General features: G+C 35.5%; 2 protein-coding genes across 8 annotated transcripts in view; one reads left to right on the forward strand and one right to left on the reverse strand.

Moving 5' to 3' along the window:
• Positions 1 to 10,127, forward strand: part of TMA16 (translation machinery associated 16 homolog) — a 25,850-nt gene extending 15,723 nt beyond the window's left edge. Inside the window, exons 3-7 of the mRNA NM_018352.3 lie at positions 2,410 to 2,447; positions 3,662 to 3,746; positions 4,901 to 5,049; positions 7,022 to 7,064; positions 8,922 to 10,127. Coding sequence (NP_060822.2) covers positions 2,410 to 2,447; positions 3,662 to 3,746; positions 4,901 to 5,049; positions 7,022 to 7,064; positions 8,922 to 9,102 — 496 coding nt within the window. The 3' untranslated portion in view covers positions 9,103 to 10,127. The remainder of the gene's footprint in view (positions 1 to 2,409; positions 2,448 to 3,661; positions 3,747 to 4,900; positions 5,050 to 7,021; positions 7,065 to 8,921) is intronic.
• Positions 10,128 to 13,885: 3,758 nt separating this feature from the next.
• Positions 13,886 to 19,980, reverse strand: part of MARCHF1 (membrane associated ring-CH-type finger 1) — an 859,722-nt gene continuing 853,627 nt past the window's right edge. For 6 of the 7 annotated variants that reach the window (XM_017008336.2, XM_017008335.2, NM_001166373.2 and 3 more), the window contains one exon: positions 13,886 to 18,634. In XM_017008336.2, the coding sequence (XP_016863825.1) occupies positions 18,336 to 18,634 (299 nt within the window). In that variant the 3' untranslated portion in view covers positions 13,886 to 18,335. The remainder of the gene's footprint in view (positions 18,635 to 19,980) is intronic. The other variant, NM_001394959.1, reaches the window with a different exon arrangement.

Here is a 19,980-nt window from a genome sequence, read left to right on the forward strand (position 1 = left end):
CCACTAATTTGCTCTTTATTTTGATAGGTGAGATTTATCTTTCTAATGTTTAATATAAATGGGATCATGCTGTATGTGGTTTTTTGTGCCAGCGTCTTTCACGTAGCATAATGTTTGAGAGACTTATCCATGTCATTTTATGTATTAGTTGTTCTTTCCTTTTATTGGGAGTATTATTCCATCCTCAGGCAATTTATTTATATCCATTCACTGGATATGCACCTTGCTTATCCATTCACTGTCTATGTTCGTTTGGTTATATTTTCATTTTTGGCTGTTATCAGAGGTCGGCAAGCTAAGGCATTAGCCACCTGTTATTACGAAAAGTTTTGTTGGAAAACATCAATGCTGGTTCCTTTTGTGTTTTCTATAGCTGCATTCATGCTGCAGTGGCAGAGCTGAGTAATTGTTACAGGTACACAGCCCCCAAAGCCTAAAATGTGACTACTTGACCATTGAAGAAAATATTGTCAACCTCTGCTGTTAGGAATAAAGTTCATTCCTGTAAAACATTCATGTACAGGTGTTTGTGTGGACATACGTTTTCATTTTTCTTTTACTTCCTAGAACTATAATTGTTGGGTAGATGTTTGAGTTTATAAGAAATTCAGTTTATAAGACGTTAGGTTAACACACTTAAGATGTTTGCTTAAGTATATGAGAATTTGGGTATATAAGAATTGCTGGATCATTTGGTGTATATTTAAGTATATATGAAATTACCTTTCTCAAAGTGATAGTACCATTTTACATTTTCACCACCAGAGTATGAGAGTTCTATTTGCTGTATATCCTCTTTGACATGTTATGTTGTCAGGGTTTTTTTTTTCTCTTTAATTTTAGCCAATCTAGTAGGTGTATAGTGGTATTTCAGTGTGGTTTTAATTTTCATTTCTTGATGACTAATGATGTTGAGCATCTTTTTAGGTTCTTTTTGGTCATTTGTGTTTTCTTGATGGAGAATCTGTCCGAATCTTTTGCCTTTTTGGTACTGGGTTAATCTGTTGTTAAGTAGTAAGGACTGTTTATATATTCTAGATACAAGTCCTTTGTTATTTGTGTTATGAATATTTTCTCCTAATCTGTAACTTAAAAATTTTATATAAAGAAGGTTTTGGCCTAGTATGGTGGCTCATCCTTGTAATCCCAGTGCTTTGGGAGGCCAAGGTGAGAGGACCGCTTGAGGCCAGGAGTTTGAGACGAGCCTGGGTGACACAGTGAGACTCTGTCTCTACAAAAATAAAAGTAAAAAAAAAAAAAAAAGTAGCCAGGCATGGTGGTATATAACAGTAGTCCTAACTACATGGGAGGCTGAGGCAGGATGGTTGCTTGAGCCCAGGAGTTTGAGGCTGTGGTGAGCAATGACAGCACTACTGCAGTCCTGCTCGAGCTACACAGTGAGGCCCTGTCTCTAATGATAATAATGATAATAATAACAAAAGATTTCATTTTATTTCTCCAGTTTTCTAGTTGTGTAAAATGGGAGGATAAATCTGGTTTGCTTACTTCTTTGTGGATAAAAGCCATGTATACTTCCTGCTTTATACAAAGCCTTCTCCTATGGCTAAGATTTTTCTTTTACCATTCCCGTAGTCCCTATCTTTTTTTTTTTTTAATCCTGAATAACTTCTCTGTATGTTCAGGTCTCAGCTTAAAATTTACTTCTCTGGAAAACCTTCCCAAATCCTAAAACATATGGTAGGTGCTTTTTAAATATGCTTTTATAGCTCTGTATGCTTCTCCATGTTTTTATTGCCCTTAGATTTTAAGGTTTTTCAGGACAGGGACAGTGAATTTTTTTTGTTCATGGCTGTATCCTTTGGGGCTATCAGAAACTAAAGTCTGGCAAAGACTTGGTATCCAGAGGTCTCCTGAATGAGTAAGTGTTTAGAATATCAGTAATAGGAGGCATGTGTTACCTATACACTTTCTGAGCATAGATGAAATTTTTGTTTGTTATAATTCTTTTCAAATTCATTGAAAGTAACCATTCTGTTTTGTTCTTATTGAAATTTAAAAGATGACAGTAGTGCATTTTGATCTTGGTGGCAGTACTCAGTCTTCCAGAAGGTTTGCATTACTCTTGTGCTCAAGTATTCTGCATATTACAGAACCCATCTGAATGTTCACAATTCAGAAAAGCTTTCAGTTGTGTTTTCAAAACTGGTTTGTTCTATAGGCTTCCTTTAGACATTGAGGTGCTTAAAGGAAGTTTCTGATAAAATTCTAGTGATTCAAAAGAGAAGCATAGTATTTAATGTTTCTGTTAACAAAATTATTCTCAAATTTGTAAAAGAATGACCTTTTAATTAGAGTTCTTTAGGCAGTTTTTCTTTTCGTTGTTATTGTCAGAGTTTTAAAACTTGCTTTGGAAATTTTCTAACACATATATTTACCTTTCCTTCAAAGATTGAAGAATGAAAAGGCCTTGCGTCTCAACCTTGTTGGTAAGTGGGTTTACTTATTTGAAACTCTGGCTAGAGTATAGGGCATTTCTGCCCTATACTTGTTTTTCTTTTTACTCTTTTAGTGAAATACTGTTTTTATCAAAGTGAATTTGATCAGACTTGATCTAAACAAAGCAAATCAATCATTAAACTTTTGGAATAAACAGTGTTAATGATTTCTAGCTCAGTTTTCCAGAAACTGTTAGTTTATATTTATCTACCTACCTACCTGTCTACACATAACATTCATATCCATCTGTCCATCTATCTGATGTTTAACTCTACCTCCCTAACCATTAGAATTATGAAGGATTATGGCCTAGGTAGAAACCACAATTCATATTTATTTAATGATGTGGACATACACATCTTCAGTTTGTATCTCAGTGTCATGTCACTGTTTTTTTGGTCAGATTTATTGCTAATAATTTTTTACTCACAAATCTGAGATTTAAATACTGACTGTTAGGCTCTTTTATTAAAATTAAAGGTATTTGAACTCCCATCAATGCTTCATCAGGTAATAGAATAGTATTTTTAAATGGGATCTCATTGTACAGGGCCGGGTGATTTTTTTTGATCTGTAATCTTGAGAAATCTAACTGAAAGTGACCCTGACGGTCAGGTTTACTCACAAGGGTGAATTTTGTTGGCTCTTTGGTAATATATATCAATTACTCTACACAGTACCTGGCAGCTCTTATATGCTTAATGTATTTGCTAACTTTGGGGCCCTGGACAGGTCATTTAACATCTCTCATCTACAAATGGGGGTAATAATAGTACTAATTCTCATGGGATTATAAAGCTATTTACATAGTGCCTACAGCTTATTAAATACTCAGCAAATATCATTCTCATCATTAATGGAGTTTTCATTTTATTATTTTTGACAAGCTGTCCTTTGCTTTTAAATACTTAGAAGTTCAAGCTCGACTAAATAATCATTTTCCTTTTTTGCATCCATATTGGATAAGAAATATATACAGAAGCGCATCCCTCCCACTCCTCTTTCTTCTCTAAATTAAAATCTGACAGTTTAATTTGTGACAGACTGGTTTAATTAGCTTTGAGCCCACACAAGGCTTTATGTTTAACATTGACATAAATTTTGGTTCTGTTTTAAACACGTTAATGTTGAAAATGATAATGAATATTTACTTGCTTAAATGATGACTTGTGGGGTAAACTGTCTTGGTACTTGTTGTTTATAGGTGAAAAACTGCAATGGTTTCAAAATCATCTTGATCCCCAAAAAAAGAGATATTCAAAGAAAGATGCTTGTGAACTAATTGAAAGGTAAACACTGGGCATATTATGAGCAAAGGGTCAGAAAAGGGAATTGTCCAGCCTGGTTCTTTAAGACACAGAGCTCTGTTACGGATTTGCAGAAGAGCAAATGGGCTTTGTTATCAGGAAGACTATTTCCTGGCTTAGTCACTATAGGAGGTTTGTAACCTATTTGGGTCTCAGAGTGGTAGTTAGGCCACTTTCTTGGGATCAGGATGGGCTTCCTGGAGAAGTGTCATCTAAACTGGCAGCTGAAAGGTGGGGGTTAGCAGATCGAGGCAAGGTAGTTTGAAAAACCCCTAGCAAGAAAGAAGAATATTTAAAAATGCCCAGAAGTGAGAATGAAGATAACGTATTTAGTGATCTGCCAGACATTTAATATGACTAAAATAAGTTGAAGGAGGGAACTGTGGCAGGTACAATAAGTGATAGCTAGCTCATGAAAGACCTCAGATGTCAGTCTAAAAGTTGGGACCTTATCCAAGGACATTAGGAACCACAGGAGGCTTTTACAGCAAGCAACTGAAATGATCATACTTAACATTAGAAGGGACACATTGAGAATGAAGAAAACAGACTGAGAGGTTCATGACTCTGGTCAGGAAACCGTTGAAAGGTTGCTGTAACAATCCAGGCCAGAAATGATGGTGGCCTCAGCTTGGCTCATAGCCTGATAAAGAAGTGAAAGATTCCAAAGAAATTAAGAAGGTAGAAGTCTCAGTGTTCAGTGAAAACTTAGGTGTGGAATAAAAGGGATAGAGAGCAGTCAAGGAAGCCATCAGATTCCTCGTCTGGACAACTGTTTCCTGAGATAGGGAACCCAGGAGATGGAGGGGGTTTGGTGGGGGGTAGGTGGGGACAGGGTGATGACAAGTTCAGTTTTGATGTGCTAACGGTGAAGCCACTAGGGGACATCCAGATTGAGATGGTGGTTGAATGTGAGGGTCTGCAGTTTGATAGAAGGCTGCGATTTGGTCACTGAAGTTAAAGAAATGGTCGAGTTATCCAGGGAATGGGTAAAAGAGGTTTGAGGACCTGAGGAACTCAGAGAAACATAAACATTTAAAGGCCACATGAAGGCTGGATACTAAGTTTTCCATTAAGTAATGTAAGCCCAATACATATACTTTGTATGTAACACAAATCATTTTCGTATTTTTCAGGTACTTAAATCGATTCAGCAGTGAGCTGGAGCAGATTGAGTTACATAACAGTATCAGGGACAGGCAGGGGAGGCGGCACTGTTCCCGGGAGACCGTCATCAAGCAGACGATGGAGCGGGAGCGACAGCAGTTTGAGGGATATGGCCTTGGTGTGCTCACTGATTTTTTATTTTCCTTTTATATGACATAGCAGTATCAATTTGTGATTGATTTCAAAGGTTTTATTTTAGATCTTGTTTATTTCATTTGATTTTCTTCCTTTGATGTCTTTTTCTTTGTGAGGGTTTAGAAAAATTTTGGATTCTTTTTTTTTCCCCTACATTCCCAACAAAACTATCAAGTTTGTGACAGTGATGTGACATCATGTCTTTTTTACCGTGATAGTAATACTGATTACTTTCACATTGATCTTGTCAACCCTAACTTGTCTCCAGAACTCCAAATTTGCAGTATCACATATGGATTTCTCAAACTCTCTACTTGCATGTCTTTTGGGCATCTCAGACTTGACATGTCATGAAACAAAGGCCAGCTTTTCTCCTAAAACTTGCTCCTCCTGCAGGTTTCTTATTCCAGTCAGTGGCATTACCACCTGCCCAGTTGCTCAGATCAGAAACTCTACAGTCACTTTCATAGTCCACATCCAACCCGTCAGCAAAGCGTTTAGAATCTGATGACTTTGACTACTACTACTACCATCTCCCACTTCCCTGGTTCAGGCCACTATCGTCTCACCTGTACTATGGTAATAGCCTCCCAGTTGCTCTCTGTACCTCCACTCTTTCCTGCTAAAGTCTGTTCAACATGTAGCAGCCAGATGAGTTGGCAGTATTTATCAGAGCACATCCAAAGTAAACCATTTGTTGGTGATACAGCTAGGACTAAAACTCAGATCTGCTGTGCTGCAGTGCTTTTCCCAGAATCAGGGGATGGGTCTGATGAACAGACTCTGATGAGTTTGCAGGTGTCCGTTTCCCTTTGGGGAAATTGTCACCAAATTCTGTTTTGATAAGATTTTGAGAAGACTAGATAGAACCATCCCCTCTCCCCTCCTTATGTGGTGTAACTATTTCTGATTCATTAAGATTCCTTTACAAATTGTTTTTGTGCTTATTTATACTTTTTAACACCTAGCCCCTCATACTGTTATTCTCTGAAACTATTGAAAAAGTCAATAGACAGTTGTAGCAAACATGCTTATTTTATCTTCTTTATTACTTGATACTAAATTTCATTTAACATTGTATTGAATTGGCCAGATATTGGCAGCAGCCTTCCAGTTTTTGTTGTTCATGCCTCTTGTATTTCACCAATTTAAGTGTATCATGCATATTGGTTTATGATGGAACTTTTGAAATATGGTAAAGAACTACCATATACCTGGTTTTTATTAAAAATGGATTTAAGTTTTATTGAACTTCTTTAAGCAAAATTTTTTTTTTAATTTAAAAAAGTCTTTTTTTCACATTTGGAAAAATGTGATTTTTTTAAACATTAATTCTTGCATTCCTGAGATAAATTCTACCTTGTGAAGGCAGATTATACGTTTGAAAACATTGTACTTTTCACGAAGAAAAAATATACAACCTGGCATGTTATTTTAGTGAATTGACAGTTATACTTTGCCAGGTACCTTTTATTGTTAAAAAAGGACAGGGTTTATTTTGTTAATAGCTTTGGTTTTGTTTTGTTTTTTTTCTCCTGCCTCAGCCTCCCGAGTAGCTGGGACTACAGGTGCCCGTCACCACGCCCGGCTAATTTTTGTATTTTCAGTAGAGATGGGGTTTCACCTTGTTAGCCAGGATGGTCTTGATCTCCTGACCTCCTGATCCACCTGCCTCAGCCTTCCAAAGTGCTGGGATTACAGGCATGAGCCACCGCGCCTGGCCTAATAGCTTTGTTTTATTTCATGGATTCTATGCTAGAATTTATCATTTAATAGGATTTTTCTTAAGTCATCTTAAACTAACCCCTTTTGCAAATTTTTCATGTTAATTACAGCAATACTTCGAAATTTTGTTTTCTGTTGGATATTCTTGCTAAAAATTATTATTTGTTGTACATAAAATTATGTGATTTAGAAAACATTGCCTCATGGAGATAAATTACTTTCTTTTCCAGAGATTCCAGACATTCTAAATGCAAGTAATCTGAAAACATTTAGGTGAGTCTGTCTTGTATTGTTCCCCTGAAGCTGTGTGTAAAGTACCTGACAGGTGAACTTTCTTCCCCTTTGAGTCTAGCCGGTAGAACTAAAAGAAAATCGGGTTTCTTTTAACCTTTTCTTTTTTATCTGACCAAGTAAGAATTTTCTGAAGTTGGGCGTACAAACAGTTGATCTGCACCAACAGGATGGTAACCTGGTGTGCTTTTTGTTTTTCAAAATGGTTTAAGATACATTGTTATAGTACCTCAAAGTATGTGATCTCACTATTCCTCCCCAGTTTTATTTTTTTAAAAAAGAAGTAACAGCAACAGACGTGATGGCTCAGAGTCATATCCCCAGGCTGTTCTGTAGCAGCCTCTTTTGCAGAGAAGATGGTTATAGGAATGACTCCAGGGAACAGGTTAAGTCATCAAGACCCGCTTTGTCCAGTGGTTTCTAGTTGTACTCTTTTGTAAACTGGGAAACTACCGAGTAGGATTTCGATTTTTTAGGTTTTTTTTTTTTCTTTTTTCAACTTTGATTTTAAATTCAGAGGTACATGAGTAGGTTTATTACAAAGGTGTACTGTGTAATGTTGAGGATTGGAGTAAGAATGAATCTACCCAGGTAGTGAGCATAGCACCCAGTACGTGGTGTTTTTAGCTCTTACCCCTTTCCTTCCCCCAACTTGTATTACCCAGTGTCTATTGTTCCCTTGTTTATGACCTTGTGTACCCAATGTTTAGCTCCTACTTATAAGTGAGAACATGTAGTATTTGGTTTTGTGTTTCTGTGTTAGTTCACTTAGGATAATCTGTAAAAATCCTAGAAGAAAACCTAGTAAATACCCTTCTTGATAGCAGCCTTGACAAAAAATTTATGGCTAAGTCCTCAAGCAATTGCAGTAAAAACGAAGATTGACAAATGGGACCTAATTTCTGCACAGCAGGATAAACTGTCAAGGGAATAAATAGACAACCTATAGAATGGGAGAAAATATTCTCAAATTGTTTGTATTCAACAAAGGCCTAATATCTGGAATCTATAAGAAACAAATGAATCAACAAGCAGTTTTTTAGTTTTTAAACATAGATTTTTATTAATCATTTTGGTCTTAACTAGACCATGTTGAGGGGTCTTATATTTAATGTTAATTGAAATTAGGTAAATTTAAATCCAGTCATTGTCTATACTTTTGAATTCATTGAAACTAAATTAGCTTTAATAGAATTCATCTATCATGTTTAAGGTGCAGTTCACTTTTGAGCTTATGTATAGCATGTATTTATAATTTAAGTATGTGGAGTTAAGATTCTTTTTATACCTTAATTTTATTTTGCCTGTAATCTTAAATATATAAATATGCTCTTTATTTCTAAAACAATATATCTTCTACCTCCTCCAAAGCCAGAAACAAGAAAAGAGATGAGTATAGCCTTCTGGTTAAGAGTTCAGTTCCCAAAATAATATTCACATTACGTCTAAAGTAATTAATACAATACTGAGGTTGAAAAACTGAAAATTTTCCATTATAAGAATAACAGTTGATTACTGAAACTTAACTGGGATGTACTTCTGTGTGTGAAAAGGAAAACCTCTTCTGACTGTATTTTGGAGATTTGTCAGGTATGATACAGTTCCTACTTTTGATTGCAATTCTTGATCTGGGTAGCATGAGAGAAGGAGATACTCAGGTTAGAGAGGATGAAAGAATAGAACAGCTTTCTAGTAATTTGTGCCTAATATTTTCCTTTAACGCTTTTGAAGTTTTGAATATGTAGGATCCTCAGAGTTTCGAAAATTTACTATCTCCTGTTTTTCCACATTAACTCTTACCAACACTCTGCACTCTTTTTTTTTTTTCCTTTTGTCTAGGGAATGGGACTTTGATCTGAAGAAATTACCAAACATTAAAATGAGAAAAATTTGCGCTAATGATGCAATTCCCAAGACGTGCAAGAGGAAAACTATTATAACTGTAGACCAAGATTTGGGGGAATTGGAACTAAACGATGAATCAAGTGATTCAGATGAGGAAATGACTGCAGTGGCCTAATTGTCTTCACTTGAATTGAAAATAAATAATTTGAGAGCTTCAAATTATATTCATTGATTATGGTACCTAATTGTCATGATACAAAAATTTGATACTGACATTCTCTTATATGATGAGAGTTTCATTTGCGTTTCAAAAATGGTGTTATGATACTTATTTTAAAATGAAGATTGCTTTTCATTTCCATTAAGTTGCTAAAATAGATAGATGTGATCTGCAGAAGTTGTTTAGTCTTCATCTGAATTTCAGGCTGGGAGGGAGCAATATAACTAAGGACAAAAAATGTTTTGTTTTTCTTGTGTATTTATGATCACCTAATTTCACGTTTTGTGAAATGGACAGTAACCTGTTTCCTGAAAGATTCCTGTGGGTACTTTTTGAGCTGTGATAATAGCAAAATTGTTTTTCGGTAATAATATCACACTAATGCTTCTTTTAAACATTAAACCTATTTTCCTTTTTTACAGAATAAGGGAAAATGTGATAAGAAGTTTGTATACATTTCTGGATTATAGATTATTATTTATCTTTTGAACCAGAGCTAAATGGTAAAAGAAAAAAAATCAGTGATGATTGTTATGTTGATCTCCCACAATTAATTTATCTTTTGACAAAGGGGATAAAGAGTTTCAGTTTAGCTCCTTTTGATTGTATATTATTTTTTGCTTTTTTATTGTGAAAAGAGGTAGGTTTTATTTGTGGAGAGAGAGTTGAAGATTAGGGAACCAGTGATTTTAATTATGCTACTTTTTCTTCTAAGAGATAAATTGATATATCATTCAGTGTCATGAAAAACATGAATGTTGTACAATTTTCTTCCTCAAAAAACTTTTTAAATGTAAGTATCCTTATTTTTTTTTTAAAAGAGCACAATGTAGGTGTATTTGAGTATTTTCAAGAAAAGAATAAAAACATTAATGCAGTATTAGGTTAACTGGATATCAACTAAGCCTTGTTAACAGTTAAAGTATTATAACTTTTTTTACTTCTGAAAATTAAAAATAAAATTTATTTCTGCAATTTCATTTCTTACAGTCCTAATTTTTTTTTTTTTTTAGTGATGTAACATGTTGATTAGTTAGTAATCTGTGTAAAAGTGTGGTTTTAGGATTCCATGAGTAGTTAATGTCTGAAAGTTTCCTTCTCTCTCCCTTTTGGCTCGTAGTCTTAAAATGGTTGTAAAAACTGAGTCATAAATTGCATTAAAGAGAATAAGAACTGCTTTATCTGGACTGACACTTAAAAGCCCCTACTGTTAGATGAATAACTTGTGAAAAGTGACAGATTGTCCTCCTTCTTAAACATTTGTTTCTAGTTTCCCATGTGTTGTCAAAGCAAAGATTACAACTAACAAGCTACACTGCCGGGAAACTAGGTAAGTATTTGCTGAATGAATGCATATAACATTTAGGACCATAATAATCATGTCACTCCTAGTTGGATCAAAGCAGCCTCAGAGATAACTTGTCTTTAGAGTGATGCTTAAGATGTTCTTACTCCTTGCCTGTTGAACATGTTCTTTCTGGGGTGATAACTTGTGCTCCCTTCATCTAGACCACTTTTAAGTCAGTGGCATATTTTTGTAAGACAACGTCTATAGTTCATGGCCATGGAACAAAGTAAAGGTAACTTATTTTTGTAAACTAGGGACTGGCAAACTTTTTCTTTATAAAAGGCCAGAAAGTAAATATTAATATATTAGGCATTATAGGCCAAATGTAGTTTCTGTTGCATATTCGTGTGCATATGTGTGTTGTTTGCCGCCCTCTAAAAATATAAAAACCGGCTGGGTGCGGTGGCTCACGCCTCTAATCCCAGCACTTTGGGAGGCTGAGGCAGGTGGATCACTTGAGGTCAGGAGTTCGAGACCAGCCTAGCCAACATGGTGAAACCCCATCTCTACTAAAAATACAAAAATTTGCCAGGTGATTACATGCCTGTAATCCCAGCTACTGGGGTGGCTGAGGCAGGAGAATTGCTTGAACCCGGGAGTCAGAGGCTGCAGTGAGCTAAGATTGTGCCACTGCATTCCAACCTGGGTGACAGAGTGAGACCCTGTCTCAAAAAATAAATAAGTAAAATAATAATATAAAAACCATTCTTAGTTAACGGCCATACAAAATAGGCCAGGGGATTGACTTGCTTGTCATAATTGGCTGACCCCTTGTCTAAACCAATGAGCTGAACTTCCATGGACATAATGATACATTTCTAAGTTCAGAGCAGCTGACTCACATCTGTGGTCTTTTCCTCTAATATCCTAGTTGCTTCCTTGCCGTAATTACTGACAGAGGTGTCCCTTCAGGACCTTGCTTACCTCAAATAGAAGCTTTTTTCTATTCTTACTTTCTGTGTGCTTCAGGGGCAGGAGATTGGGTAGGTGTCCTTTTTGCTTTACTGCCACTTCAGACTTTCTCCCTTAGGTCTTTGAAGTTCTATTCTTGCCTTCTTTCCTTACTATCTTACCTCCCAGAAGAACCTTCTGCCCATTCATAGAATACTTTAGCTCGTGGCCTAGTTTTCTTCTCCCCTGCAGCAATCATTTTAGTGATTCCTTGTGGATAACAAATAGTGGCTAGCAAATATAACAACAGTATGAGTTTTAAGTTTTCCAGTCTTTTTCTCTGTCCCATCAGAGGCCTCTCAGTGGTCACACCTGGATCCTTATCAGCACCTCCACTCTGTAGACCTGATTTTGAGTATTCCACTCTCCATTCACTGTCACCACTCCTCTTCATTGCTGAAGTTCTGCACTTTGACCTCACTCTCATTACGCATCATCTGTCTTGTTGAGCTTAGCTTCAAGTTCATAGTTGCTTCCTTGCATATACCCTGAATTCCTTGTCTCTGACTCTAGTTATTTCTCTTTCAGAACCCAAACCAAGTAACAGCTATGTTTCCTTCATGCCTGTTCTCACGCAGCTCAACATCGCTGGAGAATATCAAACAGACCATTTTCATACTGATGTTTGCAAATCTCAAGTGGATTCTCAGTACTGCTTAGTGATCTTATTATGTTCCCCTACTAAGTTCATTTTCTAACTTTGAGATAATTATTTTACTACTTTTTTATATTTTTTTCTAGCTTGACTTGAATACTAGCCTTCTCAATGTTCAGCCCTTGGCTTTTTATACATCTTTGAGAAAATACAAATTACCACTTTCTTTTGATTTAATGGATATATCTTTTTTTTTCCTTTCAAAGGAAAATACTACTTATGTTCTGTTTCCCACTCCTTATTTTCTCAGAAACCTGATTTTTCTAAGTTTTTCACGCAATTTCTCAAGCCAGGAATCTGCCTGTAAAATCATCCTTGATTTTTCACTTTCTCTCTTCTATGCCTTCCCACAATATAATTTAATTAGCGAGTATTTCTGATTCCACTTCCAAAATGAAAATCAAATTGGCCCGTGTCAGGCAGTCTCACTTTTCATCCTTACCAAAGTCGCCATGTCTTGCCTGTCCTATGTGCAGTAGCTTCTTAACTGGCCTTCTTGCCACTGTTCTTGCTCCTGTTGCCAGCACCCTGATGGCCTTGTGTGTGTCCACTTGATCCACAGCTGGGCAGGGTTTTGCTGCGGATGACCTGACTGAGCCTTGGAAGACTGTCCTATAATCTTCCCAGAGCATGGGGATATGGAGGATATCATTTGCCTCCTGATCTTCTGGGAAGGAGATAGTGAGACAATTTGTCATCACCTGGGTTCTGATGAACTCTGAGACTCTACCTCGAGTCACTGTAGCATAGAGCTGCAGCCTATAAAACTAATGACTCAAGATTGGTGCAAAAGTAATTGCAGTTTTTGTCATTTTTTTTTTTAAAAGTACTTTTAATGGCAAAAACCGCAATTACTTTTGCACCAATCTAATATAATACTTAGCTGCAGCATGGACTCAGCATCTCAGCAACAGAGTGTCCTTCCCCTTATGTAGCACTACCAGTTCATCTGGCCCTTTTCTGTTTGTGTCTTTCTGTAGGACAAGACATACGGGAAGGCCGCACCTTTGCATCTTACTGTCTGTGTAAGTACAGTTGACCCTCCCTATCTAAGGGTTCTGCATCCTTGGATCCAACCAACCACAGATGAAAAATAGTCCGAAAAAAAAAAGTATGTACTGAACATGCAGAATTGTTTCTTGTCATTATTCTTTAAACAATACATTGTAACAACTATTTCCATAGTATTAGGTATTATAAGTAATCCAGAAATGATTTTAAGTATACAAGAGGGTATACATAGGTTATATGCAAATACTACACCATTTTTATATCAGGGATTTGAGCATCCATGAATTCTGGTATCTGAAGGAGGTCCTGGGACCAGTCCTCCACACATACTGGGGGGATGACTGTAATAAAACAGTCTTACAAGGGCCTGTTTCTCTACTGGCCGAATCCATCAGCCTTTGCTTGACATTTCCCATTCGGGATTTTGGTACTTACCATTCCCTCTTCCTGCGTTGCCATTCCCCTGAGCTTTTGCAAGGCCAACAATAACTGATTGTTCTCTCTTCCTTTAGGTCTGAGCTTAAAAGTGTTCTCTCTATCTAAAGCATCTCTACCCCCACACCCTTGCTACTCTTGGTTAATCTCTATCACAGCACCCAGTTTAGGATCACTGGACACATAATGACAGTGATTAATGATCTAGGAATGTTTGCTATAATTTCTGGTGGTGAGGGAGGGTGTTAAGTTCAGATTTCCATTTTGGGCAGAGGAGTTGGCTCATATAATTAGCAGACTGGTAGAAAGCCCTGTAGGTCCTTAGAAGTTGGACATTTGGAAACAGCTTTGTTTTTTGCTATCACCAAACCTCTTAGATTCTAATATCTTGCTTTTAATGTTTATTATCCATGCAATTATCTGAATCCACTATTATCTCTGAACAGAAAAATGCTGTTATATGCTTATTTTTCTATATCCAAGACTTATTCTTGAGACAGTCCCGCTTTAGATTACATTGTGATTTCTCTTGAACTCTTTTTTTAAAGCAGGTTTGAAAGTCCACATAGTTTATTTTCATTGGTTTCCCTCTGTTTGTGTATTTATTTATTTGTACCATGTCATGAGTTAGTCAACGTAGGTTTGCTTTAAAATAATTATATGTTCAGACCCTTGTAAAATCTTAAAAAATGTATGTGTGTTTGGATGTTGCAAATACAAATATCAGTCTGTTAGGCAAAAATTGTGGAAACCACAACTAAGGTTTGCGTCACTTGTTTAATATACAAAGTCTTTCACAGATAATTATTTTCTTTTTCTTAATTTGCTTTAGTACACATGATTCACAAAACAGTAAATTGTTAATGCAAGAGAATTATGTAAAACCAAAATAGTACAAATGCCTAATTTCAAAAACTGCACACAGTTAAAATAATTTTTCCTTCTTTGTTTTAATGCAGTATCCAGTTTCAAAATGGGCTTTCTTTAGATGTGGAGGAAACACTGCAGCCCAAAATAACAGTACTTCCTTTCAACTGTGTTGATATGTAAAATAGCACCATTGGGCTGACTTAGGAAAGAAAAAAGGTTTTCATCTTTCTTAATTAAAGTATTATATAACAACTATAATAATAATGATACTAATAACTTTTAAGAGCTGTACTCTGTTCTATAATATTCATTTTCAAGGCAAGGAAGGGTAAACTATATGGGGCAGATAGAAAAATCTTCCCACCTCAGCCCCAGGACCCTTATAATGTCCCTTAATGGTGTCATTGTTCTAATGAGCTAATTTTCCTGCCAAAGAATAGATGTTTTAAAGAGTACCCAAGGACCTTTTGTAAAACAAGATAAAAAACCATGAGGTCGTCTGTCTGGGACTATAATCACGTGTAGAAGCAGCGCAGAGTGAGATTTAATGCTGGGGTGTTTTGAAAGACTCCTTCAGTCTACACCTATCTTCCTTCAGGTTACACATTGCTGTATCTCAGGTTGTTGGGCTCACTTTAGTTTAGATTTTGTTCATTTTTATTTTGTTTTTGTACTTAAGCTTAATTGCCTTTTGGGCTTTACTTTTTAAAAAATTGGAATTTCTTTCTTTTACAATTTAATCTTTACTCCTGTACGATAAGAGTGATAGTTCTTTAAAAAAATTAACAGCATCAATGTCTGGTTTAATACTGAAGATTCATGATTATAAAGAGCCAAGGTTTTTAACACAACTGTAATTTCATTCTTCAATTTTAGTCCTTTTTTTTTCAATTCCATTTTATTTCTTCCACGAGCAGGTAAACATGCCTCAAAATTTGCATTCCGTAGAGCAGTTTTTCTTTTTGAAGGGTATAGTCAGTCAGTCTACAAAAAAGCACTGCCACAAAGCTAAATCGTTTTATTGTTTGAAAGGGCAAATGTTCCATTGCCACACAGAATGTAAAAAGAAAATAATCAACATTAGATTTTAAATGCAGGTAGTTATTTCAGATGTTTGAACCATAAACAAACAACCATTGCTGAAAAGCTTCTTAAAAGCTTGAAATTCAGAACTTCAGGGTTTCAAAAAGTCAGAAGAATAGCAAAATCAAGTGTTGACTTTTAACCTGCCAGGAAGCTATATTATATTATTTTCTCATTTCAACAATGTCCAAGCCCATAAAAGTTAATTGCAAGAATTTAGGTATAGTTTTAAAATCCCATGTCCTCTTTTACTATTAATAGAATAATGCTTACCTTTGCTTTTTATTCTAGAAATGTTTTCTTAGTGTTAAAAGTGTAGCCCTTAATAAATGAGGCTTTATTTTAGCCGATCATCCTCCACTGTGAAATCAGCCCTGCAACGTATCTTGTTTAGGTTCGTACAGAATTTAAACAATATTTTCCATGTTAATTAAAGTAAATAATTATTTTACTTTCAGAGCAAACAAAAGAGAAATCAACATTTCTTTGTTTGCTGGTGTCTGGATGTTTTTCCCCGGGAATATCTGTAAGCAGCATGTTGCCATTACTAACCCACAGGGAAAATGGATTAGTAAAAAGCTTAGGACAATTAACAGGAAAATTGCATTAAGGTTAATCCCTTGGATATGGTGCCATGGTTAAATCACCCACAGATTTGTTATTCATAAATGTATTTATCTTAAATATTTAAAATGGGCATTTAAGAGGAATTTAATATACAGTTTGTTTAAGGTCCACATGTTTTTTAAAACGTTAATTACTTATATCCTTATTTATACAGAATTTTTGGTTCAGTTTAGTTACCTCAACTTTGCTTTCCCTGTGCTTATAACAAGTTTTAAGAAAGATGAGTTTTAAACCTTTTGTTTCCTGACTGAATACCTTAACATTTTCCCCGCATATATACATGACTACACACACGCCATACACACACACAAAATTGACATTGTTTACCTTTTGTTTATTTCTAGGAATCAAGACTATCTGGACTCAGTGTCAGCCACTACTAATATTTATACCATCTTTCTCCTCATTTAAAGGTTTGTTTTTTTTTTCCCTTTTTCCTATGATCTGTGAAGAACAAGCACACTGATAATTACAAAGTGCATCCATGTGATACCCAGATTTGTGCAGTGTGATACTCATGCTTTGGTTCTTATGGCCATCATTGCCTTTTCATGTTAATAAATAATGACAGCTAACAAAAATAAGTCACCTTTTTTAATGTAGGACATCTTTCTTTGACAGGCTACTGTATCTATAATCACCGTTAATCTAGCTCACTGCAATGTCATTCACACATCAGTTTTACATGAATATGCAAAGAACACAATAATCAACTGTCAAACCTAAACGATTAATTACTTATCACAGAATCTGTTGAATATTTTTGTTTTCTAACTGAGCAAGGGAAATCCTGTCAGCTTTTAAAAGTAAGGGCTAGATTCTTAGTCATAATTACTCATCATCTGTCAAGTTGACACCTCATATGGATGAAATAAGCCTTACACATTTGATTTAATAACAAAAATAGGTAATTTTATTCCCCTATTGTAAGTACTTCATAGTAACAATTTATTTATTTCACAACTCTGCTATAGGCAGATTGATTGTTTTATCTTTCTATACTTTTGGATTTTTACCCTTTAGAGATGTGAACTTCATCTGACTTTAAAATGAGGACACTTAATTTAATGCTTTTAAAAATCATAACTAACTTTTGTGACTTTGAAATAAAAGAATGAATTAAACTGTTTTGAAATACTCAACAACTGTTAAATAAAGCAGAAGCTTAGTCTCTAATTTTACGGCTGTGCTATCCAATATAGTTAATTCAAGTTGAAGTGTACTTTTAAATTACCAACTGGATTTTGAAAACTTGGTTCAAGAAACAGATGTAAACTATCAATCAATCAATCAATTTTTTATATTGATGACATGTTGAAATAACATATAGTGTTTTTAAAAAATCAAAATTCATTTTAACAAACAAACATTTATTTTTACTTTTTAAAATAGGGCTACTGGGAAGTTAAATATTTGCATCTGTGGCCTGCATTTGTGGCTGTTGTGTTTCTATTGGACAGCACTGTATTAGAGGAACCAGATGAAAATAAATATAAGACCTGATAACAGTTCTGTGGGTATTTAACAGAGCTAATTATATCCGAACATTTTCTGAAAATCTTTTGCGTGACTTAAACAAACGTAATTAATTCCAAATATCAATGTCTTCAAATGTATATTGCATCTATTTAAAAAAAACATGCATCTGTCAAAATAACCAGACTCCACTAAACCATACAAATCTGTTAGCTGTCAAAGCATATCAAAATATGCATCCTCCAAGTTCACTTCCAATGTGACTTAGGGATAATGCAGACAATTTCAGGCTTAAAACCAAATATGTTAGTTATTTCCAGATGAGACAGTTAACATTACAAGGCCCTAGAAGTAATACACATCGCAATTCAAGTCTGTATTCTTGAACTTTTCCCCTGTTACTGTGAAGAAGAGTATCATGGGTCCATTTAATCTTTGATTACTGCCTAAAAGCATTCATTGCCCCAGTAGTTCTTAATTGTCTTGGAAATCATTCTCTTGCAAACTTCACATTTCCATATCATACTTTACTTTACGCTATTACTTCATGGGCTCCTGGGCATTTGGTCTGTTTGTTTTTCTCCTTTCCTCTTTGAACAAAGTCAGGAAAAATGTGTCAGTAGGAGAAAGGAGGAGCTGAAGGGAGTAAATAATTCAAGATCACTTCTGTCATTTGTAGTGGCTGAGGGCTAGAAAGATATTCTTCGGTGAAGAAACTCCCAACAGGTTCCATCAGACTGATACAACTTCAGGGGGGCCACCCTCTGCAGATGGCAGTGAATTTGCACCTGTTTGTGGTACAGGCACTACCACAGCATCTTTGATGTCTGTGTTTACATTACATGAGAAGTTCTTCTCCAGTTTTTTGGCAGTGTCTGGGCAATTTTGTACAAAGATCACACGGTTGTAGGCCTTCAGCCTGCGCCACAACTGAACATAGACTTTACACTGTACGTACATGAAGACAAGACCTCCTGTGAAGCCAATGGCTACCACAACCAGTTTTGTCCAAAATGGCCATTCAAGGACACCTTTGAAATGAAAAAGAGAAAATGTTATCACCAAGTTGTCCTCAGTGGATTTGGTCATTTTTTTTTTCTATGACCCTTCAAAAGCCCGTGCTTGCCTTCTAGATTATGTATGTTAACAGAAATAATATATTCTTCATAACTAGAAAGAATTATAACCCGAATTGGCGTAATTCCTTTTGAGTATCCTACATGTACTGTCAAAATTGTATATCAGGACATTTTCTCACCTATCACTGTCAAATCTCTTATTTCTCCTAGCATCAAGTACCTATCATAATTATGAGATATTATGTTAGATTTTGGACATTTGGACACTGACATTTATCCCTTATAGCTAGACTTTTAAGGAAGGATGGTGAACATAATGGAAGAATCAGAGTTTAAAATCCTTCTAAGAAGATGAGGTATAGGTACATGTATGGGTTTGTATGTACAGGTCTTCCCACCCTCATTTATTTTAAAATGTAAAAGGAAAGGAAGGAATGGAAGAAGGGAGATGGGGAGGAGTAAGAGGGAGGGGAAGGAAAAAGCTGCCACATCTCACCAGAGAGAGAATTCCTGAGTACAAACATGCAAAAGATTTAGGATTTTAGCCATTTGTTTCATAAATCATATTTTGTCATTGAGAACCATCACACTTTTATAGATGTCTATATTTTCTCTTAATTTCCATCACCATTACTAGAAATAGGCTTTCTTTTGTAAATACAGTTTTAAAAATTATTTCACAGGCATTTCAGTGACTACAACAGTGAGTATTTAGGCAATACATAATTATGAATGTTAAATATATGAGGGTCAAGAGTGTTAAATATATGAGGGTCAAGTGGTCCTCTTGCCCACATTAGGGTGGTGTGGGGGACAATAGCTGTCTTCCCGTAAGTGAAAAGTTGTGAAGTAGAAAAATATAGCTCAGTATGGCTCAATACAGTGCACCAGGAAGGGATGGTAGAAATGTGTAAAAACCATGGTAATTGAGAGTCTATGATTTGACTTTGGATTTTTATTTACTTACAACAGTGATTAGAGTTATAAGAAATATCCTATCTATATTTTGTAGTAGTGACATTTGCTTTATGCTTCTGGAAGCAAAGCAGAAATCATGCCCTGTTTGTTTCCATCATGATGAAGCACCTTGTACCCTAAGATTAACCAAAAATAACAGCGTTACCCTGTCAATTTCTGGTCCCAAAATAATGAAACATTGAGTATTTCTTATAATCCCAGATCCCCAGCAAACACCATTTTATTCTTGACTTTTATTTAGCTCATGTTGCAAGATCTTTCTGAATATGATCATCATGTGATAAGATTTTGTTTTTTCTCCATGAACAAATTAATGCAAA

Source organism: Homo sapiens, chromosome 4, assembly GCF_000001405.40.
Source record: "Homo sapiens chromosome 4, GRCh38.p14 Primary Assembly".
NCBI lineage: Eukaryota > Metazoa > Chordata > Mammalia > Primates > Hominidae > Homo > Homo sapiens.